Raw genomic sequence first — 27,293 nt, forward strand, 5'->3', positions numbered from 1 at the left:
AATTAAACTTTAAACATACCTTCGCTGTTGTGTAGTCTACTACTTTCTTTGTGGTCAGATCACATTTGTTCCCTACCAACAATTTGTTGACATTTTCACTGGCATAACGATCTATTTCCTGCAGCCACTGTTTAACATTATTGAAGGACTCCTAAAAAGACATTTGAAAGACTGATAATATAGTTCGATAATATAGTTCTGGAATAAACAGAAACATCGTTCCTGACCTAACAGACAAATAACAAAGAGCTAGTGAGACAACTCTAGCTACAAAATAACCACTGCTAAGGAGTGAAGAGATTTTTTTTTTTGAGACAGGGTCTTGCTCTGTCACCTAGGCCGGAGTGCAGTGGCACAATCACAGCTCACTGCACCCTCGACCTCCCAAGCTCAAGCCATCCTCCCGCCTCCGCCTCCGGGATAGCTGGGACTACAGGCACATGCCACCACACCTGTCTTTTTTTTTTTGGATTTTTTGTATAGATGGAGTTTCACTATGTTGCCCAGGCTGGTCTCGAACTCCTGAGCTCAATCGGCCCACCTTGGCCTCAAAAAGTGCTGAGTTTACAGGTGTTAGCCATTGCAGCTGGCCGTAAACAGATATATTAAAATGACTATAAATATCTAAACAATGACAAACTAGAATTTACAGGCTTAACGATGAAAATACCTTATTTGAAAGGGAAGTATAGCTTAATATTAAACTGCAACGCAGGCAAACCCAACTGCTTTGGAATATGCAATTTAAATGTACTACAAAACCTGGTTTTGAAATTTGATTAATTTTTTTTTTTTTTTTTTGAGACAAAGTCTTGTTCTGTCATCCAGGCTGGAGTGCAATGGCGCGATCTCGGCTCACTGCAACCTCTGCCCGCTGGGTTCAAGCGATTCTCCTGTCTCAGCCTCCCAAGTGGCTAGGATTACAGGCACGGGCCCCCACGCCTGGCTAATTTTTGTATTTTTACTAGAGATGGGATTTTGCCATGTTGGCGAGGCTAGTCTCTAACTCCTGACCTCAGGTGATCCGCCCGCCTCGGCCTCCCAAAGTTCTGGGATTACAGGCGTGAGCCACTGCGCCTGGCCTGAAATTTGGTAAAATTTTGGTTTATGAATAAGATGACCTACTGTTACTACTAGAGATGTCAAAAGATGTTATTAAATATACTCATTTTCTTTTCCACAGTCATATTTAGAGGACGAAAGTTTTCATTTAAAAATATTTCACGGTAATAGTAGAGATTTTTTAAACTAGCATCATTTTTTTCTCCTGCAGATATCACCCACCCAGCACTTCTAATGGCACTGAATCTAAATGCTTACATGTAAGTTATCTCCTAATTAGCTATGATTTCTCATTAGAGGTGAGATTTAACATTTGCCAAAAGAAAAATAAATTCCAATTTTGAACGTTTATCTTTTGTCCTTTTCTTTGATAGAAAGGACACTGAAATCTAAGTTTCTGATTTAAAAAAATAGTAACAAAAAAAGTTATGGCCCCTGGATCACATGCTTCACACTGTCCCACATTGTTCCCTCCATCGCTCTGCCCTCTCTCACAGCTAATCTTCAGATACTCATTCTCATACTAAGATCCTCCTACAGCTTATCCTATTCAAATTCTTTATTTCTGAACCACATCCTCCATAGGCAGAGACCCCCGAATCCCACTTTTGGCAATTCTGATGGACAAGTTCTAATTACCAGGCCATATTCCTGTTAATACTTAACACCAAGAACACAGTATAAGCCAAGCAACTCACGATTCCCTACAAACTCTTGCCTATATGTTAGAGTCTTGGCTATTTGATCAAAGTTATTTAGTTGACAATAAATACAACCAGAATCCCTTGAAAGCAAACGTAAAACTAATTACTAATCTTTTATTTATTACAGGAAAACAAATGTCTTTTAAGTGATTCACATTTATATTTGAGAGTGGACAAAGTTTTCTGCCATAAAATTAATACTGATGGCTTATATATGAAGTAGTAAATGAATCTGACATTAATCAAATAATGGCTTCCTACTTGGTCACTGTAACACAATCTCCTCTTGGAACTTACCTGATCTGTCACATCATACACAACTATGATGCCATGGGCTCCTCTGTAATAACTGGAGGTGATTGTTCGAAATCTTTCCTGGCCTGCTGTGTCCCACTATTACAAAACAATCAAGAAATCCAAACAATTCCATTAAAATAAAGTTGGGGAAAAGTGTAGGAGGGAGGGGAAATAGTTTAGTTTTCATAACTGTGGAGATTATCAGGATGTGATATAGAAACATTAGTCCTCAACTCATACCACTAAATTGCACGGTAATAAGCACCTGAAAGTCCAGAAAAGAAGTAGTACCTACAATTGAGCTTACGATAATAATACTAAAATTACAAGCTGTTGAGAGCAGGAACTATGTCATACTTTTCACATTCCCTACCGCCTTTAACACTGTGTTTAGGAATGCCACTGGCCGAAAGCCCTTGAACACAGAACTCTTCCATGTAAGACAAACTCACTTGCTAGCACATTCTACCATGATTAAAAGCACTGGAGGGACCTAATTCAAATAACTACCAGTCAAGACAGAACTTTAATCATCCCAAGCAGGTGTCTTTTTTTTCCCCTCTCAAGCAGCGTCTCATTCTGTCATCCAGGCTGAGTACAGTGGCATGATCATGGCTCGCTGCAGCCTCAACCTCCCACCTCAAGCAATCCTTCCACCTGAGCCTCCTGAGTAGCTGGGACTACAGGCACATGCCACCACACCCGGCTAATTTTTTCTTTTTTGTAGAGACAGAGTCTCGCTACATTGCCCAGGCTGGTCTCAAATTCCTGGACTCAAGCAATTATCCTAACTCATTCTCCCAAAGTGCTGGCATTACTGGCATGAGCCACCATGCCTGGCTAGGTGTTGTCTTCATCCTAGAGAAAAAAATGTAAGGAAGATGACTCCAAATACTTTCATAAAACGTATTTTAAGAACAATTTACTGCACTTCAACCATTTAGGCTCAAACTCCCAAAACAAATGCTAACATTATTGCATTATAGTTCTGGGTTTTAAAAAACTGTTGGGACTGGGTACGGTGGCTCACGCCTGTAATCCCAGCACTTTGTGGGGCCGAGACGGGCGGATTACGAGCTCAGGAGTTCGAGACCAGCCTGACCAACATGGTGAAACCCTGTCTCTACTAAAAATCCAAAAATTAGCCAAGTATGCTGGCGTGCGCCTGTGGTCCCAGCTACTCGAGAGGCTGAGGCAGAATCGCTTGAGCCCAGGAGGCAGAGGTTGCAGTGAGCTGAGATCACACCACTGCACTCTGGGCAAGAGAGCCAGATCCTGTCTCAAAAAAAGAGAAAAAAAAAAAAAGAGGCTCAAAGTCTTTCAGTGTATCCTTGGAGGAAGCATGAACTCGAGGATCAAGCTACCCTGACTTCAAAACATCAAATCCAGGTTCCTGGTTATTTAATATTAGGGAGAGTCACCTAACAGTTTCTTCATCTGTAAATGCTAGATAGCATTCACCTTGTACAACAGCTAAAGGGGTTTAAATGAACTAATGTTTGTAAAATGTGCCTGACTATAGAAGCTGCTCAATAAAGCAAGTTTCCTTTTCTTCCTTGCTCACCAACCTCTTTCACAAAGATAGAAGGAAAAATTGTTTTTTGACTAAAAGTCAACAAGAAGTTACAGCTGATTAAAGTAAGCAATGGCACCCAAAAAGTAAAATTTCCTTTTTATCCAAAATGGAGGTATTGCTATGTTGCCCAGGCAGATCTTGAACTCCTGGGCTCAAGTGTTCCTCCTGCCTCAGCCTCCAAGTAACTGGGACTACAGGCACTGATATGGTTTGGCTCTGTGTCCCCACCCAAATCTCATCTCAAGTTGTAATCACTGAGGGAAGTGATTGGATTATGGAGAAGTGATTGGATTATGACGACGGTTTCCCCCATTCAAGTGATAGTGAATGAATTCTCACAAGATCTGATGGTCTCATAAGGGGCTCTTCCCCCTTCACTTCCTTCACACTCTCTCGCCTCCTGCCATGTAAGACGTGCCTGCTTCCCTTTCTGCCACAGTAAGTTTCCTGAGGCCTCCTCAGCCATGCAGAACTATGAGTCAATTAAACCTTTTTTTTAATAAATCACCCAGTTTTGGTCAGTTCCTTGTGGCAGTGTGAGAACAGAATAATACATGCACCATGCCTGGCAGAAAGAGTAAAATTTCTGATGTTTCCTTGCTACTCTGAAAACTTTCCTGACACTAAATCCTAACAGTACTAACAATACTTTCCTTCATATGTAATTCTCATTACTCCTCATAATCAGAGTAACTTTTTCCCATGTTTGTCTCTCCCATTGTCTGCCTCCTAATGGACTATGTTTTATTCATCTCTGTAACCTCCAAGTGCCTGGTGTAATGTAGACATTTTCATAAAGCCTCATGAATGAACAATCACAGAAAGAGGCCTTCCATGGTGTACAACTGGACTCAGTACCTGCCCTATCTTGCTGAATGTTTTATAATCTAATAAAACTCAGATAAAGACCCAGATGTCACACCTGAACAGGAAAAGCTGAAAGGAAAAGATAATTAAAATATAAATCAACAGAATCAAGATTTTGAAAAGACCTAGAAAACTTGAAGGATTACTGAAGCCAAGCAAGAGGAAATGATAGGATTAAAAGTAAAATCTTGTGTTTAGATTTTTTTTTTTTTTTTTCAGACGGAGTCTCGCTCTGTCACCAGGCTGGAGTGCAATGGCGCAATCTTGGCTCACTGCAATCTCCGCCTCCTGGGTTCAAGTGATTCCCCTGTCTCAGCCTCCCAAGTAGCTGGGATTACAGGCACCTGCCACCATGCCCAGCTAATTTTTTTGTATTTTTAGTAGAGATGGGCTTCACCATGCTGGCCAGGCTGGTCACGAACTCCTGACCTTGTGATCTGCGTGCCTCTGCCTCCCAAAGTGCTGGGATTACAGGCGTGAGCCACCGTGCCCGGCCTGTGTTTAGATTTTTAAAACACCAGTCACAGAAGTGTAAAGTGAGACCCTCTTCTTTTTTTTTTTTGAAACAAGGTCTCGCTCTGTTGCCCAGGCTAGAGTGCAAATGGCACAATCTTGGCTCACCGCAACCTCCATCTCCGGGCTCAAGCAATCCTCCCACCTCAGCCTCCTGAGTACCTTGAACTACAGGGACACACCACCATGCCTGGCTGAATTTTGTGTTTTTGGTAGAGACAGGGTTTCACCATGTTGCCCATACTGGTCTTGAACTCCTGAACTCAAGAGATCTGCCTGCCTCAGCCTCCCAAAGTACTGGGATTACAGGGGTGAACAACTGCACCTGGCCAAGGCCCCTATTTTAATTAAAAACAAGCAAATCGGCCAGGCGCCGTGGCTCACGACTGTAATCCCAGCACTTTGGGAGGCCAAGGCAGGCGGATCACCTGAGGTCGGGAGTTCGAGACCAGCGTGACCAACATGGAGAAACCCCATCTCTACTAAAAATACAAAATTAGCCCGGCGTGGTGGCACATGCCTGTAATCCCTGCTACTAGGGAGGCTGAGGCAGAAGAATCGCTTGAACCTGGGAGGCGGAGGTTGCAGTGAGCCGAGATCACGCCATTGCACTCCAGTCTGGGCAACAAGAGCGAAACTCCGTCTCAAAAAAAAAAAAAAAGAAAAAAGAAAAAACAAGCAAATCAAAAACCTTAAGACCCAAACTAGAAATAATATAGCTACTGAAACAACAAATGGTTGTCTTTGATTAATAATAAGAAAGGGCCATGAGCCCTTGAAGTTCAAGAGAGAAATTCATTCAGGCTCCAAATCAAGACAGGATTTACCTCATGTGTTATATCTCATACTTGATTTAAGAAATCAAATTTAATAAAAGGCATTTATAAAATGTAAGAATAACCCAAATTGCACAAGGTTCTGAAAATATCATTACAGGAAAGAATGAGGACTTCAGAGGTAGAAGAAAGGTTGTGATAAGATCAATCTGAAGGGCAGGCTTGCCAATAAAAGAGGAATTAATCTGATTCAGGCAGCTCTACAAGGCGGAGGAATAAGAAGAGACAGAAGTAAAAGAAACAGGCTTCAGCTCAATATAAAGAATTAACATGTCTCTAAAAGAATCATGTAGTGAGCTGACCGCTGCACTCTAGCGAGGGAGACAAAGTGAAATTTTTGTCTCAGAAAAAAGAAAAAAAGAAGAATCACTAGGAATAAATAAAAAAAATAACTGGCAACTAGAGGTTTTGTGGTTTTTTTTGTTTTTTTCTGTATGTTTTGCAAAGATGAGGTTTCGCCATGTTGCTCAGGCTGGTCTTAGACCTCCTGAGCTCAGGCAATCTGCCCACCTTGGCCTCCCAAAGTGCTAGGACTATAAGCGTGAACCACGACGCCCGGACAGCCACTGCGCCCAGCCTTATTTTGTTTTTGAGACAGGGTCTCTCACTCTGTCCCCAAAGCTGGGGTGCAATGGTGCAATCTTGCCTCACTGCAGCCTTGAAGTCCTGGGCTCAAACATTCCTCCCACCTCAGTCTCCTGGGGAGCTAGGACTACAGGCATGGACCACCACACCTGGTTACTTTTTTTTTTTTTTTTTTGGTAGAGATAGAGTCTCTATGTTGACCAGGCTGGTCACAGGAGCTATGTTGACTCCTGGCCTCAAGTGACTCTCTGACCTCGGCCTCCCAAAGTGCTGGGATTACAGGCATGAGGCAACATGCCTAGCTGAAGTTATGTGTAAAATGGAACTAGCTATTTCGAAAAAATGGTAAGCTTCTTAAAAATGTTCAAAAACCCAGGCGTGGTGGCTCACGCCTGTAATCCCAGCACTTTGGGAGGCCAAGACGGGTGGATCACTTGAGGTAAGGAGTTTGAGACCAGCCTGGCCAACATGGCGAAATCCCATCTCTACGAAAAATACAAAAATTATCGGAAGGCTGGGCACAGTGGCTCATGCCTGTAATCCCAGCACTTTGGGAAGCCGAGTCAGGCAGATCACGAGGTCAGGAGTTCGAGACCAGCCTAACCAACATGGTGAAACTCTGTCTCTACTAAAAATACAAAAAATTAGCAGGGTGTGGTGGCGCACGCCTGTAATCCCAGCTACTCAGGAGGCTGAGGCAAGAGAACTGCTTGAACCTGGGAGGCGGAGGCTGCAGCGAGCCAAGATTGCACCACTGCACTCCAGCCTGGGCGACAAAGCAAGGCTCCATCTCAAAAAAAAAAAAATTGTCCGGGCATGGTGGTACACACATATAATCCCAGCTATTAGGGAGGCTAAGGCAGGAGAATCACTTGAACCCAGGAGGCGGAGGTTGCAGTGAGCTCAAATCGCGCCACTGCACTCCAGCCTGGGAGACAGAGCAATACTGTATCTCAAAAAATAAAAAAACAAACAAACAAAATGTTCAAAATGAGGCCTTCAGGCATGGAAAAGAAATTCCTATTAAAGATGAAAGACAGACAAAGATGAAAGACAGTGTCCTATAAGATCCCTTCCAGCCACAGGAAAGTAACAAAATATGAATGTTTCACACACGAATACACACCCAAATCTTATAAACACCAATGATCACACATAATACAATTATTCCATACCAGTGCTTTAAAGTACAGTTTTGGGTAGATCTTTATGTGCTCTTTATGGTGCCAAATAAAAGGTTGAGACTGTACTTATATCGTGGGAAAAAATATGGAGGGTAATTTGTTCACTGATTGAAAGTATTTCAAGCTATTTCTGAAAACTAAATCCTTGCAAGTCCTAATTTGACACATCAAGTGTGTTTACTTATATCAATATCCACAGCCACCTATCTTTTGTTAACATACCTTCTTTTCCTCATCAGAGTCATGTAAGAAAAGGGAGCAACTTAACCTATCAAACACCCATTTATCTGGGCATGTCATATCATAAGTAGTATCTATATGCTGCCCAAAAGTTTACAAAGGGCTTTCACACGTATTGTCACATACACAAAGCTATTACAGTTGGTTCTCACAACTAGCTTATAAATTAGTAAATCAGGTGTCATCACACACATTTTAGAAAGGAAACTGGGTCTCAGGGTTACTTCGGCCTTTTCCCCAGAGACACAAACCCATGATTCTCTAACAGGTAAATACTAGAACCAAGACAACAAATCTAAGTCTTCTGACTCCTAATGCAGGACTCCTTCCAATTCCATGTGTCATCAGTTCCATGAAAAGGGGCAGTCACTGGTTTCCTGTGTTTATAGCCTACTTCTTGCTAATAGCCTACTCTGAAAAATACTGAGAGATTTATTTTTTAAAAGACCACAGATATGCCCACACTGACAGGACTCAGACCCATACTGAAGAGGCACAACTGAACTATTATAATTGCCTATATTTAATTGGGGGCTGGGGGTGTAAAGATGGATAAGGGGGATAGGATGGCACAGAGACACAAAATATTGAAGACAGAGCTTCGGTCACTTGGTTCTACCAGTAACTGTAGGCAAGTCATTAAATCTTTCAGCATTCGTTTTTTTGAGCAGTAAAATGAACATGTTACAAAAACTAAGTTCCTTTTTCCAACAAAATTCTGTGTTTCTACAGAGTTGGTGCACACTATCTAATAAAAATACTTAGAACTACATAAGTACTTCTCTTCAACTGAGCCACATATGAAGAATCTCTTCCTAGGGTTCCTTTAATGTTCCATGCACTTAGCACAGTAAAAGACAAACAAAAATGGTCTATAACATTTGCAGTGTAGGACAAGGTAAACTTGAACTTAGATTTCCACTGATAAAAGAAAAAGATGAGGACCAAGTTTGACTTAAAACATGAGTTTCTCTGCTTCATGAATAGAAAATTCAATGAGGCTTAAGTAATCTTGAAAATATTATTTTTAATCTAAGTAATTCTTATTCTACCATTCTATCTTAAGTACATGAATCTTAAGACATTTTACATTCAATTTTGTTAGCATAGTAAATATATACAAAATAACAATACATTACAAATTTACCAAAATAAATTTCAAAAAAATTACTAGCCAAGTCACTTACTATTTGAAGCTTGATTGTTTTCCCGTCTAACTCTATAGTTCTTATTTTGAAATCCACACCAATTGTGCTGATGTAGCTTTCTGTATATGTATCATCCTGAAGGGGGAAATAATTAACAATTAAATGTATTGTTCAGTGGAGCAGATGCAAGTCTAAGTGGAAAAAAAAAAACTGTTGTTCAAGAGTAAATAAAAAAAAAGTTTACTTTTATCTACAGTCCAAATTTATGAATGAAATGTATAAAGTATAACATGCTGACAACAGCCACTCCATCCACTTTCAGTACTTACTTCATATTCTGATTACAAAGCACTACTTAACTGTAGTTTCTTTCCTTAAGATCTCTACAATAGCCATTCTTTATTTTTTCCAAACATCATCTCTTGCCAAATTCTTTACATACATCATATAGAAAAATATTTTATATTTTCAATGATTATGAATAATTTTTCTAATCACTAATCAGCAAAACTCTTGCGACCCACCCACCCAATTTATTCACCACAAAACAACAATTTCACTCCGCTTTTTCTTAGAAGTCAATCTTGCTTCCTAATTATGATTTTTTTTTTTAGATATAATGCACATAACATAAAAGTCACCCTTTTGAAGTGGACAATTCAGTGGTCCTTATACATTCACAAGGTTGCAAACTACAACCACGAATTCCAGGACATTTTCTTCACTCCAGAAAGAACCCGTCTTCACTCCCTGGCAACCACTAATCTACTTTCTCTTTAGATTTGCCAATTTTGGACATTTCGTATAAATGGAATCATAAAATATGTGGCCCTCTGTGTCTGTCTTCCTTCATTTAGCAGAATGTTTTCAAGGTTCATCCATGTTGTACCATGTAACAGTACTTCTTTTTTTTTTTTTTTTTGAGGCAGGATGTTGCTCTGTTGCCCATGCTGGAGTGCAGTGTCATGATCTCAGCTCACTGCAACCTCTGTCTCCCGGGGTCCAAGCAATCCTCATGACTCAGCCACCTGAGTAGTAGGGACTACAGGCGTGCATCACCACGCCTGCCTAATTTTTGTACGTTTAGTAGAGACAGGGTTTCGTGATGATGGTCAGGCTGGTCTCAAACTCCTGACCTCTAGTGATCCCCCTGCCTGAGCCTCTCAAAGTGCTGGGATTACAGGTGTGAGCCACCATGCCTGGCCCATTTTATTGGCTGAATAATATTACATGTACTACAAATATACAACATTTTATCCATTCATAAATTGATTTGGGTTGTTTCCACTTCTTGGCTATTATGAATAATGCTGCCATGAACATTTGTGTACAAGTTTTCCTGTGAATATATGTTTCCTGTCAATTTTTTAACCTAATGTTAAACTTTTAAAATTATAACTGCTTCTTGCAAGTACCTGCCATGAAATTTTATTCAGAATGGAATAAAAATATTTCTCGTGAAAAGATATATGAATGAACAGACCAGGCTATCATCATATGAACCACAAAGCACCACCTAAGAAGTACTCTGTCAACAAAGATGGACCTTAATCGAATCAGGTCTAATGAGAACGGCACTGCCAAACAGAACTTCCTGTGACAATGGAAAGGTTCTATAAGCTGTGCTAGCCAATATGGTAGCCATTAGCCCTATGCAGCTTGTGAAACAAGAAACTAAGTTTTTGATTTTTTCAATTATTTTTCCCCCTTAAAGGGACAGGGTCTTGATGTCTCCCAGGCTAGAGTACAATCGTAGCTTACTGAAGCCTTGAACTCCTGCACTCAAGCAATCCTCCCACCTTGGCCTCCCAAAGTGCTGGGATTACAGGTGTGAGCCACCAAACTTTTTCAATTTTAATTAATTTAAATTTAAATAGCTACATAGAGCTAGTAGCTACTCTAAGGATAGTGCAGTTCTAGGTCTTCTAATTACAGAAAGAGGGACAAACAAATAAGCATAAGGACATCACAAGGAAGCAAAATGACAAATCTAGAATATTGGACAATCTACAGGACAAGTGCTTCAGTTTCTGCAAAAAGTCAATGACATAAAAAATATATAAATAAAAAAGATAAGGTATAAAACTCTAGATTAAAAGACTAAGCAAGAAAACAACCAAATGGAAACTGTATTTTGCAGGTTGATAATGGCAATGTCATTTTATAAGAAAATGTTTTTAGAAATATGGGCCGGGCATGATGGCTCACACCTGTAATACCAGCACTTTGGGAGGCCAAGGTGAGTGGATCACAAGGTCAGGAGTTTGAGATCAGCCTGGCCAAGATGGTGAAACCTCATCTCTATTAAAAATACAAAAAATTAGCTGGACGTGGTGGCGGGCGCCTGTAATCCCAGCTACCCGGGAGGCTGAGGAAGGAGAATCACTTGAACCCGGGAGGTGAAGGTTGCAGTGAGCCGAGACTGTGCCACTGCACTCCAGCCCAGGCGACAAGGCATGTCTCTGTCTCAAAAAAAAAAAAAAAAAAAAAAAGTTATGTTGTAATTGAGTGCCTAATAAGTATCAGGTACTATAGAAGTATATAGAGGCCAGGCGCAGTGGCTCACATATGTAATCCCAGCACTTTGGGAGGCCAAGGTGGGAGGCTCACTTTAGATCAGGAGTTCAAGACCAGCCTGGCCAACATGGTGAAACCCTGTCTCTACTAAAAATACAAAAAATTAGTGGGTGTGATGGCACACGCCTGTAAACCTAGCTAGTCAGGAGACCAAGATGGAGAATCGCTTGAACCCATGAGGTGGAGGCTGCAGTGAGCCGAGATTGCACGACTGCACTCCAGCCTGGGCGACAGAGCGAGACTCCATCTCAAACCAAAAAAAAAAAAAAAAAAATGCAGAGAACAAAATGAATGCAATAAATATTCATGTAGCACATCTATCCCCCAGGTACTTGGATAGAAATACTGAATTCTTGGCCGGGTACAGTGGCTCACGCCTGTAATCCCAGCACTTTGGGGAGCAGAGGTGCACATATCACTTGAGCTCAGGAGTTGGAGACCAGCCTGACCAACATGGTGAAACCCCATCTCTACTAAAAATACAAAAATTAGCCAGGCACAGTAGTACACGCCTGTAATACCAGCTACTCGGGAGGCTGAGGCATGAGAATCACTTGAACCCGGGAGGTGGGAGTTATAGTGAGCTGAGATCATGCCACTGTACTCCAGCCTGGATGACAGAGCTAGACTCCATCTCAAAAAAAAAAAGAAAAAGAAAGAAATGCTGAATTCTTGTAAATCTCTAAATGACCTTTACTCCCATGCCTGAGCCGTTACTATTCGTCTGCCCAAAAGCCTCAGTTATCTCTCTCTGCATAACCCTACTTACTCCCCAGCCCCAAGGTCATGTGGCATTTATTCATCCTTCAGTTTTGAGCTCAGGCAATACTGAGTGTCCAAACAATTTCTTCAACTCCTCAGCCAATAGATTCTTCCCTCTGTGCCCCCAGAGCTTATTGCACATTTCTTTATTATAGTCCTCACGATTGTCTCTATTAATATTTTGAGGGTATGGGGATCAGCATTTTAAAAATAGTTTCCAGGTATTATTGGAAAACCTTTGACTTCAAGCAATGGACATCCCAGAGAGGGTTTTCCTTGAGGCACAAACGCCTGAGGCTACAGCTAGATTCTTCCCACCTACCGAGAGTTGCTTAAGAATTATGCTTAATTTTAATATTTGCCAATTTAATAAAAATTAAATGACACCTAAGTTTAACTTAAAGGCCTTTAATTACAAATAAAGTTGAGCCTTTTTTTTTTTCCATATTTATTGGCAATTTGTATTACTTCCTTTTTTTTTTTTTTTTTTTTTTTTGAGATGGAGTTTCGCTCTTGTTGCCCAGGCTGGAGTGCAATGGTGCGATCTCGACTCACCACAACCTCCGCCTCCTGGGTTCAAGCAATTCTCCTGCCTCAGCCTCCCAAGTAGCTGGGATTACAGGCATGCGCCACCACATCCGGCTAATTTTGTATTTTTAGTAGAGACAGGGTTTCTCCATGTTGGTCAGGCTGGTCTCGAACTCCTGACCTCAGATGATCCGCCAGCCTCAGCCTCTAAATGCTGGGATTACAGGCGTGACCCACCACACCCAGCCAGCAATTTGTATTACTTCTTTTTTCAACTGACTGCTCATGTATTTGCCACTATTTCCATTAGGAGAAATATTCTTTTCTTGTTGATGTGCAAATGTGCTTTATATGTTGAGAATACCAATCCTCATATATATATATTTGCTATTGCCATTAGTTTTCTAACATTTTTGTGCCTGTGATAAATTAATTTTAATAGTCAAATTTAGCAGTGATTTCTTGCTTTTTTCTTATTTTAAAAAATACCTTCACAAACCAAGATTAAAGAGCCACCTATGTTTTATTCTAGTACTCATGGTTTTATTTTTAACTGTTATATAAAAAGAATTATACATTATTTAATATTTTTTAAATAACCTTCATTAATATCGGCACTCATCAGAAAAGTCATATGTATTTAGGATACTGTCAAGTGGTAAACTCTAAGTTTTTTCAAATTCTAATTTTCCATGATAAACTTAAATTTTATTTCAGCCAACAAATGCTTGCAGCTACTTCCCTTGAAATGACTATCACAGTTCATCTGAGAAAATCTGTCAAATAGCCAATTCTGTTCTAATCTGTCTGTTAGCTGTTCTTTCAAGTTAAAAAAAAAAAAAAAAATGTCCAGGTGCAGTAGTTCACGCCTGTAATCCCAGCACTTTGGGAGGCTGAGACAAGCGGATCACGAAGTCAGGAGTTCGAGACCAGCCTGGCCAACATGGTGAAACCCCATCTCTACTAAAAATACAAAAACTAGCTGGGCTTGGTGGCAGGTGCCTATAATCCCAGCTACTTGGGAGGCTACGGCAGAAGAATTGCTTGAACCCGAGAAGCGGAGGTTGCAGTGAGCCGAGATTGTGCCACTGCACTCCAGCCTGGGCAACAAAGCAATATTCCATCTCAAAAAAAAAAAAAGAAATGGTGTTCCACAGAAAAAAATAAAGCAGTTAGCTCAGCTTACAACTCAAAAAACTACAAATGCTTTTCTTTTCTCCAAAATAACCAACACACTAGCCAGTATGCAGTAAAAAGTGCTTTCTCCAGCACTTTGGGAGGCTGAGGCACATGCATCGCTTGAGCTCAGAAGTTTGAGAGCAGCCTGTGCAACACAGTGAGACCTTGTCACTACAAAAAAATACAAAAATCAGCCAGGCATGATGGCGCATCCACTTGGGAGGTCCCAGCCACTTGGGAGGCTGAAGTGGGAGAACAGCTTGAGCCTGGGAGCCAGACGCCACTGCACTCTAGCCTTGGCAACACAGCCAGAATCTGTCTCAAAAAAAAAAAAAAACATTGTTTTATGTGAACTTCCCATTTCTTCACAAATATTTTTAAAGGAATACTCATGGATCAACATTTTTCAAAAATTAATCATTTTAACTGTTTTGTCAAGGACAATCTTCAATAAAAATGGCACGGCTTGTTTTTGTTCCTGTGAGGGCACAGAGGTAAAGAATGCCATCACCATGAGTACAATTTGGAGCTTAGCGCTGCCTTGATGTGTACCAAGCCAGCAGCAATTTTACCCACATGCTTTTGTACCAGAGCCAATGTCATCACTGAAAAACGCAAACATCTTTTATATTAGTATTATTACCAAGTAAATATTTCCTTACAAATACTAACATCTTAGTATTATTAGGATATTTTGACCTCATGGGCTACCTGAGAGGGTCTTGGTAACCCCCAGGAGTCTTTGGTCCATGCTCTGAGAAACAATGATCTCTAGAAGGGAAACATGCTAATTTGTTTTTTTATTTTTTTTCTTTTTTTTTTGAGACAGTCTTGCTCTGTTGCCAGGCTGGAGTGCAGTGGCACCATCTCAGCTCACTGCAACCTCCGCCTCCTGGGTTCAAGCGATTCTCCTGCCTCAGCCTCCCGAGTAGCTGGGACTACAGGCGTGTGGCACCACACCCAGCTAATTTTTTGTATTTTTAGTAGAGACGGGGTTTCACCGTGTTAGCCAGGATGGTCTCGATCTCTTGACCTTGTGATCCGCCCGTCTCGGCCTCCCAAAGTGCTGGGATTACAGGCGTGAGCCACCGCACCTGGCCAGGAAACATGCTAAATTTAAAGGTAGTTGATAAAGACTATGAAGGACACTGTGGATTCTGTTAAGTCAAAAGTCCTTTATCTGTCAGCTTCAGCATTTAGAACTATGCCATTGGCCAACGAAGTTTGTCCAAGACCCTACTTTTTCTTTTATTAACTTTTTTTTTCAGAGACAGAGTCATGCTATGTTGTCCAGGTTGGTCTCAAAACTCCTAGACTCAAGTGATCCTTCCACCCTCAGCACCCTGAGTAGCTGAGACTGCAGGCATGATCCACTGCGTCACCTGGCTCTGCTTTTTCTTCTTATTCTACTAAAGTTTAATTTAAAGATTTATTTTCATCAAGTCGCTTTCAACACAGGCCACCAACTACCCCTTTAACTTGCTGCCTATATTGGAACTGCTGTTTGACTCTGACCAAAAGTATTAGACATTCTGACTTTATAACCATACTTCACTGAATTTCTTTTAAGAGCAACAATATTTTTCTATTTAACAGTCCAAGATACCACTGGGGATGTATATTTGGAGTCTTTAAATATATAAATTCTGGAAGAATTAACTTATTCTGAATAAAACTGTTTAATTTTATCTACCTAGAAAACATACATAGCATTAATTGTACCATTAATTGTAAAGACATTTCAATTTCAACTTACTGCAAACCTAAGAAGAAGGCAAGACTTTCCAACCCCTGAGTCGCCAATCAGAAGTAACTTGAATAAATAATCACTGCAAAAAGAAAAAGAAAATGATGTTAATAAAAAGCACACTGCATTGCTATAAGCTATACAAAAACAAAAACACAGCTACAAATAACAACTCACTGTGAAGACTACATCTCCTATAAAGCCCATGCATGGCTTAAGCCAAAACTGCAAACAGCCACAGCCCTTCTGACAGATCACTAAACATGATAAAATTATGTAAAAAGTAGGCAATGCCACCTATGATCTCTAACATCAGTGAACTTCCACTTAAAAAGAAAGAAGGAAAAGAAAAATAAGTGATACGCACTCTTGGACTGCCCAAGATACTTAAAACATTCTAAATAAATCCCACTCCTCTATAGTATTAGAATACAGAAAGGTAACTTTTCATTGTTTTTGCCCATGAAATATTAGTCTCTCCTTCAAATTCTAAGATCAGGCCAGGCGCAGTGGCTCACACCTGTAATCCCAACACTTTGGGAGGCTGAGGCAGGCAGTTCACTTGAGGTCAGGAGTTCAAGACCAGCCTGACCAACATGGTGAAACCCCGTCTCCATTAAAAATACAAAAATTAGCTGGGCATGGTTGCGCATGCCTGTAATCCCAGCTACCTGGTAGGCTGAGGCAGAAGAATTGCTTGAACCCAGGAGGCAGAGGTTGCAGTGAGCCGAGATCGTGCCACTGCATTCCAGCTCCAGCCTGGGCAATAAGAACGAAACTCTGTCTCAAAAAAAAAAAAAAAAAAAAAAAAAAAAATTCCAAGATCAAATAATTTCATAGCACTCCTCCAATGAAGGGGTTCTCACGATCCTTCTCTAGCATCCAGCTTGAATTCTCCCGTCAAAACAATGTTCATATAACTTCTGAAAGCCCATATTATAAACTAGAAATGTGATAAATTCACAGGCTGTTTATCCAAGTGCAAAACTTGACTAACACTCTACACTTGTATTAAAGCATTTTTCAGAACCATTGAAAACCAAGCTTTTTTTTTTTGAGACGGAGTCTTGCTCTGTCACCCAGGCTGGAGTGCAGTGGCGCGATCTCGGCTCACTGCAACCTCCAACTCCCTGGTTCAAGTGATTCTCCTGCCTCAGCCTCCCGAGTAGCTGGGATTATAGGCATGCGCCACCACGCCCAGCTAATTTTTGTATTTTTAGTAGACACGGGTTTCACCGTGTTGGCCAGGATGGTCTCGATCTCCTGACCTCATGATCTGCCCGCCTCAGCCTCCCAAAGTGCTGGAATTACAGGTGTGAGCCACCGCACCCAGTGATAAAACAAGGCTCTCTTTATGTATCTCTAACATTGCCAGGCCTAACTCAAAAACTATCCCCAGAGATTCCTTCATGGAACTAAGACAACATTATTATTCACCCACAGTCTCCAAGGAAATCCCTCATAGATCCTTCCCAACTCAGACACCAGTTCTATGCATTCTTTTAAGCAATTTCAAAAGGACAAAAACCTTAGAATTTATATATCGTTTTTGTAGAAGATATACATGATTTTGTATTTTGTCCTTTTTGATTTACTTTCAAAAATATGCTAAAGTGAAAACCACGTCACAATTTAGATTAAAATTATTTACATGTAAACAAGACATAAAACTTATTTTTTTTGTTTTAATTGCACTGCCAAAGAAGAGAGGATATAAAACTTCTATAAGCGATTATCTTTGTGAATATTCAACTATTACGTAGGTTTACATAATGATATGCATTACTTAAAACATTGTTTGGGTTTTAGCAAATTACCATATTATACTTATTGTTATACTTATTGTCTTTAATTATATATGAGGAAAATAATTTTTTAAAAATCCCAAGTGCCAGTCAGCAGCAAAATAGAAGTCAGAGAAGGAAACAAAAATCTTCTAAACAAGTAAATCAGAAGAGGGGACTGAAGCATAGAATGAACTAGACATCCTTTCCAGTTTGAGATTTTAAAATTTTTAAAAAGATCGCTATTGTAGAATATTATCCTTAATAAATGATTGATACCTAATACCAACAATTTGTACTTGGCAGTTCAGCTGGCTGACTTTACTACTATTGATAAGGTTCCTTCTTAATTAAACCAAATATTCTTCTTTCTTTTTTTGAGACAGAGTCTTGCTCTGTTGCTCAAGCTAATTTTTGTACTTTTAGTAGAGACGGGATTTAGCCATGTTGGTCGGGCTGGTCTCCAACTCCTGATCTCAAGTGATCCACCCGCCTTGGCCTCCCAAAGTGCTGGGACTACAGGTGTGAGCCACCATGCCTGGCCCCAAATATTCTTTTTTTGTTTGTTTGTTTTGAGACAAGAGTCTCGCTCTGTTGCCCAGGCTGGAGTGCAGTGAAGCAATCTCAGGTCACTGCAGCCTCCACCTCCCAGGTTCAAGCAATTCTCCTGCCTCAGCCTCTGAAGTAGCTGGGATTACAGACATGTGCTAACACACCCAGCTAATTTTTGTATTTCTAGTAAAGACGGGAGTTTCATCATGTTGGAGGCTGTTCTCAAGCTCCTAACCTCAGGTAATCTGCTCACCTCAGCCTCCCAAAGTGCTGGGAGTACAGGCATGAGCCACCGTGCCTGGCCCCAAATACTCTTAAGAATACTGAACACTGAACATTAACAATGAGTATATGTTAAGAATTTACCTGTATGAAGAAAGGAAGACTATCACAGCATTGATACTACCATAGTAGGTTGGTTTTTTGGGGGGTGTTGTTTTTGTTGTTAGACAGTCTCACTCTGTCGCCCAGGCTGGAGTGCAGTGGCTCGATCTCGATTCACTGCAACCTCTGCCTCCAGGTGTTCAAGTGATTCTCAGGCCTCAGCCTCCTGAGTAGCTGGGACTTAGTAGGGAGGTTTTTAAACAGAAGTTTCAACACAACAACTGGACTCAATGTACCAATCTCCCTGAACTCCACGCCAGGCATCCAGTAAACACTCAAAAACATTCCCTGAATTTGCTGTACTGGAGCCAGTTGAAGTAAAGGACTGTACTGGGCCTCAGATGTTGCCTGAAGTATCACCTTAAAGATCAACAACCCAGGCTAGGCGTAGTGGCTCATGCCTGAGGTCAGAAGTTCCAGACCACCCTGGCCAATACGGTGAAACCCCATCTCTACTAAAAATACTAAAATTAGCTAGGCATGGTGGTGGGCAGCTTTAATCTCAGCTACTTGAGAGGCTGACCCATGAGAATTGCTTGAACTCAGGAGGTGGAGGTTGCAGTGAGCTCAGATCACACCACTGCACTCCAGCACGGGCAAAAGAGGAGTCTCAAAAAAAAAAAAAAAATCAACAACTCTATTTCAGAGCAACCATAAAGCTTTAAAAAACATGAACGGGGGCCAGGTGCAGTGGATCACCTGAGTTCAGGAGTTCGAGACCAGCCAGGCCAACACGATGAAACCCCGCCTCTACTAAAAATACAAAAATTAGCTGGGTGTGGTGGCAGGCGCCTGTAATCCCAGCTACTCGGGAGGCTGAGGCAGGAGAATTGCTTGAACCCAGGAGGCAGAGGTTGCAGTGCGCTGACATCACACACTCCAGCCTAGGCAACAAGAGCAAAACTCCATCTCAAAAAAAAAAAAAAAGAAAGAAAGAAACATGAAGGTTTCCTAATTGCACTACAAGTTACATTATGGTTTCAAGAAATTAATAGTCAATTCTTTTTAAATTACCTTTTTCAACCACTACATTTTTTTAAGTTTTACAAATATAACACTCTTATTTTAACGCATTATGGCTGGGCACAGTGGCTCAGTGAGCCTGTAATCCCAGCACTCTGGGAGGCCGAAGCAGGTGGATCACCTGAGGTTGGGAGTTCGAGACCAGCCTGGCCAACATGGTGCAATCCCGTCTTTACTAAAAATACAAAATTAGCCAGGCATGGTAGCGCATGCCTGTAATCCCAGCTACTTGGGAGGCAAAGGCAGGAGAATCACTTGAACCCGAGAGGCGGAGGTTGCAGTGAGTCAAGATCACATCATTGTACTTCAGCCTGGACAATAAGGGCGAAACTCCATCTCAAAAAAACAAATAAAAAAATTATTTATGAGTTTCTAATAATTTAAGGCTTAAATTAAAGCCATTATAAATAATATGAAGAATTGAGTGCTCTGTATAAGACAATCTTTGCAAAAGACTACTGGTTCTCTCGCAAACCATTTGTTTACTAACATGACAACAGTCACATGAGAAAGGCAAATAAAATCAAACCCACAAACTTCCCCACCTCCCCTTATCAAAGACACACACTTGAATAGCGTGATCAGTGACACGTTAACTTGCATTGGGACATTTTAAATTACCTACTACAGAAGTAGTTTATTTCTCAACTGTAAATATACTGAATATTCGTGAGAATTCATTGTTCTGAGTTTGCTTTAAAACGTTTTTATAATTTACAAAACACCACACAGTAAAAATGTTGATAGAAAATATACAAATATAAAATTACAGAGCACAAGGACAGAATTTTGGTACAAAGAGCCAAGACTAATTTAGCAAATGGTAAGACTTTAAATGTATTTATTCTTCATTCCTCATGAATTTGGATCACTAAGTTTTTATCCTACAATAATATAATTTTGACTTAAGTGAAAAAAACTAAATTATGCTAGTTTAGAAACCAATAAAAATTTGGCTGGGCGCGGTGGCTCACACCTGTAATCCCAGCACTTTGGGAGGCCAAGGTGGGTGGATTACCTGAGGTCAGGAGTTCAAGACCAGCCTGACCAACATGGTGAAACCCCGTCTCTACTAAAAAAAAAAATACAAAAATTAGCTCAGCATGGTGGCAGATGCCTGTAATCCCAGCTACTTGGGTGGCTAAGGCAGGAGAATCACTTGGACCCAGGAGGCGGAGGTTGCAGTGAGGAGAGACTGCGCCATTGCACTCCAGCCTGGGCAACAGAGCGAGACTCCATCTCAAAAAAAAAAAAAGAGAAAGGAAAAAAAAGAAACCTATGAAGATTTACAATTGTCACCCTCGTAAATTATTCTAGTAAATCCTATCCACTGTTTCCAGTTCAGAACTTCCTCTAGCTTTTTGTAGTTCTAATCTACTATAACCTCATATTTTCTACCCTCGAGAAGTTTGGGGTCTGTGTTTCTCCACCCTTACGTTTGACATAGCTATCTGTGGGTGTGGAAGGTAAGCTGACTTACTCATCTACGTATACAAGGATCTAGCACTGTGCCTTTTACAAAGCATGTGCTAAGAGATCAGAGAACATTTTAGTTTTACATTTTTAATCAGGCCTCTTTCGTTGTGAGATACAGCTACAGAAAATTTGTGCCATCCTTGATTAACATTTTTGGCCAAAATATTAGGGGGAAAAAATGATGACAGCACCTCATGTTAAAAGGATACAGGAGCCGGTCGGGCTTGGTGGCTCACGCCTGTAATCCCAGCACTTTTGGAGGCTGAGGCGGGCAGATCACGAGGTCAGGAGATCGAGACCATCCTGGCTAACATGGTGAAACCCTGTCTCTACTAAAAATACAAAAAATTAGACGGGTGTGGCGGCACACGCCTGTAGTCCCAGCTACTCAGGAGGCTGAGGCAGGAGAATCGCTTGAACCCGGGAGGTGGAGGTTGCAGTGAGAAGAGATGGCGCTACTGCACTCCAGCCTGGGCAGCAGAGCGAGACCGTCTCAAAAAAAAAAAAAAAAATGGCCAAGCCAGAACAATTTGAGGCACAAAATAAATTAAGTACGTATTAGATTATAACTCACAAAATAAATACTCATGAATTCATAGCAGTATAAATGATTATAAATGGGAGGGAAGAGACAAGTCAATAACACATGCTGAAGAAATGAGAAAAACAGAAAATGACCAGTAGCACTACATTAATAATTGCTGCAATGCTGGGTGTGGTGGCTCACACCTGTAATTCCCACCTACTTGTAAGGCTGAGGTAGAAGGATCACATGAGGCCAGAAGTTCAAGACCAGCCTGAGCAACATAGCAAAACCCCCATCTCTAAAAATATTTTTTTTAATTAGCTGGGTGTGGTGGTCTATGCCTGTAGTCCCAGCTACTTGAGAGGCTGAGGCAGAAGGATCACTTGAGCCCAGGAGTTTGAGGCTGCAGTGAGCTATGAACTCACTACTGCATTCCAACTTGGGCAACAGAGTGAGATCCCATCTCTTAAAAAAAAAATTAAGGAAAAAAGAAAAAGAAAAAATAATTGCTGCAAGGAAGATTTACTGGATAAATGCTAAATTAATGGATAAAACTAAGGAGAAACAGGATATCTGCATGACCTCACCAAAGTATATCCCTCAAAATATTGGCCAGGCATGGTGGCTCACACCTGTAATCCTAGCGCTTTGGGAGGCCAACGCGGGTGGATTGCCTGAGCTCAGGAGCACGAGACCAGCCTGGGCAACACGGTGAAACTGCTTCTCTACTAAAATACAAAAAATTAGCCAGGCGTGGTGGCACATGCCTGTAGTTTCAGTTACTTGGGAGACTGAGGCAGGACAGTCACTTGAACCCCGGAGGTGGAGGCTGCATTGAGCCAAGATCATGCCATTGCACTCCAGCCTAGGCGACAGAACGAGACACCATCTCAAAAAAAAAAAAAAAATACATCAGACAAATACAAACTGACAGACAACTGACGGACATTCTATAAAATACCTATCAGCACTCTTCAAACTTGTCAAGATAACGAAAAAGAAGGAAAGACTGAGAAACTGTCACAGATTGAAGGTGGCTAACATGGCCTACAACTAAATACAATATGGTATACTGAATTAGATCCTAGAACAGAAAAAGAACATTAGTGAAAAAATTAGAGAAACCAGATTAAGTCTATAGTTAACACTGTACCAATGTTTATTTCTTAATTTGGACAAATGTACCATGTATGTAAGATGTTACTATTAGGAAAAGCGGAAAGAAGGGTATACAAGAACTCCACATTGATTTCACAATTTCAGTAAATCTAAATTTAGTTCAAAATAAAAAGGGTTTTAGAAAAGGTTTTTATAAAGGTTAAAAAATTATGAGGAGGCCAGGCGAGGCTCAAGCCTATAATCCCAGCACTTTGGGAGGCCCAGGCAGGTGGATCACCTGAGGTCAGGAGTTTGAGACCAGCCTGGCCAACATGGTGAAACCCTGCCTCTACTAAAAATACAAAATTAGCCGGGCGTGGTGGCACGCACCTGTAGTCTCAGCTACTCAGGAAGCTGAGGCAGGAGAATCGCTTGAACCTGGGAGGTAGAGGTTGCAGTAAGCTGATATCGCACCACTGCACTTTAGCCTGGGCAACAGAACAAGACTCCATCTCAAAAAAAACAAAACAAAACAAAACGAAAAATGACAAACAATCACTTCAAAAATGCTAGCTCATGATTTTTTTTTTTTTTTTGAGACAGAGTCTTGCTCTGTTGCCTAGGCTGGAGTGCAATGGCATTATCTCAGCTCACTGCAACCTCCACCTCCCCCGGGTTCAAGCGATTCACCTGCCTCAGCCTCCCTAGTAGCTGGGATTACAGGTGTGTGCCACCATGCCCAGCTAATTTTTGTATTTTAGTAGAGATGGGGTTTCACCATGTTGGCCTGGCTGGTCTCAAACTCCTGACCTCAAGTGATCCACCTGCCTCAGCCTCCCAAAGTGTTGGGATTATAGGCATAAGCCACCGTACCCAGCCACTTATGATATTTTTAAACAATATGAGAGACATTTCATGTTTTCTCAAGTTAAATCTAATCACAAATTGGGCTGGGTTTGTAAAATAAAGCTGCTTTTGAGGTACAAGTATTTCTATTAGTGAAAAATTCTGTTGAACTGCTTGAATTTTATAATACTACGAGCAGATATTTTATTTTAATTTAAAAAGTTCACTCTATGAGAAAGCTAAAAACAGTTAAGGTAAGAATGGCATAGAATAAGCCTGGACAGAAAGGAGGAGGCTGAGAGAAATTAACAGTAGGCTTTAACAACTGGATGGTGGGCATGAAATACAGCAACAAGAGAAAAATTATTTTTGCTATCAGTTTTTCCTATAAGTCAACTTTTGGTCTACTTTCGCAATATTGGAGGTTCCAACAATAAAACAAAAGCAATAAGGTACAGTAAGGACGAGTTTTATTCTACTCAGTTTGCATGAAGTTAAATGACTGATGACAGGGCCAGGCACGGCAGCTTGTGCCTATTAATTCCAGCACTTTGGGAGGCTGAGGCTGGAGGATCATTTGAGCCCAAGAGTTCCAGACCAGCCTGGGCAACATAGAGAGAAGCCCCATCTCTTAAAGAAAATTAAGGAAAAAATGATCAATGACAGGATATGTGGATTTTTGCTAACATTAGAATTGTCTTTTGCTTAACAGATGGGGAAAAATTGAACTATACATTCAATTACAAATCAGCAAGAGGGCCCACCCCAGAACCCTTGTTTCAAATTTCAGTTTAGAGTTCAATTTCCATTATTTGTTTGCGTGCAAAAATGGCATCGGTACATATATGTACATTTATGATCTGAACATAGTCTTGATGTCCGCTGATGTATGTACCTACGCCATTTTTGTATGCAAGCACTACCATTTTCTATGCCTTTAAAAAAAGCCTGGTGCAGTGGTGCACACCTGTAGTCCCAGCTACTTAGAAGGCTGAGGCAGGAGGGTAACTTGAGCCCAGGAGTTCAAGGTTGCAGTGAGCTAGGAATAGAACCATTGCACTCACTCTAGCCTAGGCAACAAGAGTGAGACCCCCATCTCTAAATAAATAAAATAAAAAATATAAAAATTAAAAGTCACTACTGTGAAAGCATGGAACAATATTCTTTAAATAAAAAGTTAGAAAAACAGATTTTCAGTTCAAAATTCTATTTAGGTAAAATTCTTTTCTTGCCTAAAGTACAAAGTAGAGGATGAATCAGCTTGTTTCTGAATCTAAAATGCTACTGGAAATTCTAAAACCTCCAAAATAACACTGTTATGTGAAAGGAATATAGAATTTTTTAAAGTATAACCTCATTTTTGTTTTTTAAAAAATCTTTTGAGGGGCTGGGCATGGCTAGCTCATCTCAGCACTCTGAGAGGCTGGAGCAGGAAGTCTAAACTGTAGGACTATAATGGATTGACGGTTTCTTCTTTATACCTTTTTAACAACCTGCAGTAAGCTTGTATGACTTTTATAACCAGAAATAAAAAATGTTATTTGAAAGGAGGAGAAAAGCGTTTTATTCAATGACTTAACACCCTTACAAATATGTTCAGCATATGTCAGCACAGCACACCTATCATAACACAAATTACTTCTAAGTAGGTAGAGTAGGTCAGGTTGTAAACAGACAGCAATGGCATACTCCCAATACAGCCACAAGTATATGAAGTTAAATTCTGGGTTAAATGAGAATATACTGTTTTCTTCTTTCATGAAATAAAATTTAGATTCTCAGACAAGGTTCACATGTCAATGAACACTTTACAAAAGAAAGCTGATTGACATTAACCCAACTTTCAACATTCCACCCTTTGGAAACATGCTAAGGAAGAAAAAAAATCTAACAGCAGAGAACTATAGTGTATAATTGTATTTGTACAAACAGAAATACAAATACAAATTTATAAAAACAAATATAAATTTTATAATATCAGCTGTAAGTACCTTAGAAAAGGCCTATTTATAAAGTTCAATGGAAACTAAATTCATTCTCTTTCATCTAGAATGGATTCATTTGCATGACAGGAATTCTTATGGTTTAAATGTATCCTCCAAAGTTCCTGTGTTAGATACTTAATCCCCAATACAACAGTTTAAGGGGGGCCGGGCGCGGTGGCTCACGCCTGTAATCCCAGCACTTTGGGAGGCCGAGGCGGGTGGATCATGAGGTCAGGAGATCGAGACCATCCTGGCTAACAAGGTGAAACCCCGTCTCTACTAAAAAAATACAAAAAATTAGCCGGGCGCGGTGGCGGGCGCCTGTAGTCCCAGCTACTCGGGAGGCTGAGGCAGGAGAATGGCGTGAACCCGGGAGGCGGAGCTTGCAGTGAGCCGAGATTGCGCCACTGCAGTCCGCAGTCCGGCCTGGGCAACAGAGCGAGACTCCGTCTCAAAAAAAAAAAACAAAAAAAAAACCAGTTTAAGGATGCAGAGCCTAATGAGAGGTGATTAGGTCACAAGGGCTCTGCCCTCATGAATGGATTAATGCATTCTCTCAAAAGTGGGTTAGCTATCTCTGGAGTCACTCTGTTATAAAAGTGAGTTCAAGCCCCTTCTTGCTCTCTGTCTTGACATACTCACTTGCCTTTCCACCTTCCACCATATGATAACACAGCACAAAGGGCAGAACCATGCTCTTGAAGTTCCCAGCCTCCAGAACCACAGGCCAAATAAACTTCTACTGTTTATAAATTACCCAGTCTGTGCTATTCTGTTATAGCAGCAGAAAACAGACTAAGACAGAAATGTTATTTTATCTTCTTCTAAATGTCTTATTTGAAAATAGCATAAAACTAAGCTCACATATCAAATTTAAAACAAAATCCTGATATACTGGCCAATAAATCTTAAGGGAAAATTATCAAGACTACTAAACTACATACTATTTTAATAACCTTTAGGGGGTGAAACAATAAAAACTTCAGCTGCAATGATCATGATTGACATAAATTTTTCTTCTTCACTCACTTTAAGTATGCTCCACAGAACACAATTCAAAACCAACCTTCAGGTTGAAACACTTACTCCTTGCTGGAGACAAGAGGTAAGAACTTTTAGTTAGTTCATATGCTTCTGTACTGTGAATTTTACAGTGAGCACATATTATTCCTATAATTTAAAAAAAATTAAACAATCCTTCAGCTGTGGACAAAGCAGCCTGTCAGTCAATATAAATGATCAATGTGACCAATTACCAGAAATCTGAGAGGGCAATGGTCTTTTCTCCAAATTTAAAGAAATAGTCAAGCAATTAAAAAAAAATGCTTCCATTCAGATGAACCATCTTAAAAAAAATTGTTCCCATAATCAACCACTAAAATTACATGTTTTTCTTTGGTATTTAGAGACAATAGATTAATTTTCCAGGTTCCAATATAGTTCTGTTTAGAACAGTATTCTAAAAATTCAAAGCTGGCCAGGTGCAGTGGCTCATGCCTGTAATCCCAGCATTTTGGGAGGCCGAGGTGGGTGGATCACTTGAGGCCAAGAGTTCAAAACCAGCCTGGCCAACAAGGTAAAACCCTATCTCTACTAAAAATACAAAAATTAGTTGGGCGTGGTGGTGGGCACCTCCAGTCCCAGCTACTAAGGAGGCTGAGGCAGGAAGAATTGCTTGAACCTGTGAGGCAGAGGTTGCAGTGAGCTGATATCACGCCACTGCACTCCAGCCTGGACAACAGAGTGAGACTCCATCTCAAAAAAATAAATAAATTAAATAAAATAAAAATAAAAATTCAAAGCTGAAATGCTGA

General features: G+C 40.6%; 1 protein-coding gene across 3 annotated transcripts in view; it reads right to left on the minus strand.

Moving 5' to 3' along the window:
• RAB1A (RAB1A, member RAS oncogene family) overlaps positions 1 to 27,293 on the minus strand; it is a 43,253-nt gene that overhangs the window by 2,066 nt on the left and 13,894 nt on the right. The window contains exons 2-5 of one of the 3 annotated variants that reach the window (NM_004161.5): positions 15,815 to 15,887; positions 9,052 to 9,147; positions 2,064 to 2,159; positions 20 to 151 (exon numbers count right to left, since the gene is read on the minus strand). In NM_004161.5, coding sequence (NP_004152.1) covers positions 20 to 151; positions 2,064 to 2,159; positions 9,052 to 9,147; positions 15,815 to 15,887 — 397 coding nt within the window. The remainder of the gene's footprint in view (positions 1 to 19; positions 152 to 2,063; positions 2,160 to 9,051; positions 9,148 to 15,814; positions 15,888 to 27,293) is intronic. The other 2 variants (XM_005264468.3, NM_015543.2) reach the window with 2 other exon arrangements.

Source organism: Homo sapiens, chromosome 2 (assembly GCF_000001405.40).
Source record: "Homo sapiens chromosome 2, GRCh38.p14 Primary Assembly".
In the NCBI taxonomy this organism is placed as follows: domain Eukaryota; kingdom Metazoa; phylum Chordata; class Mammalia; order Primates; family Hominidae; genus Homo; species Homo sapiens.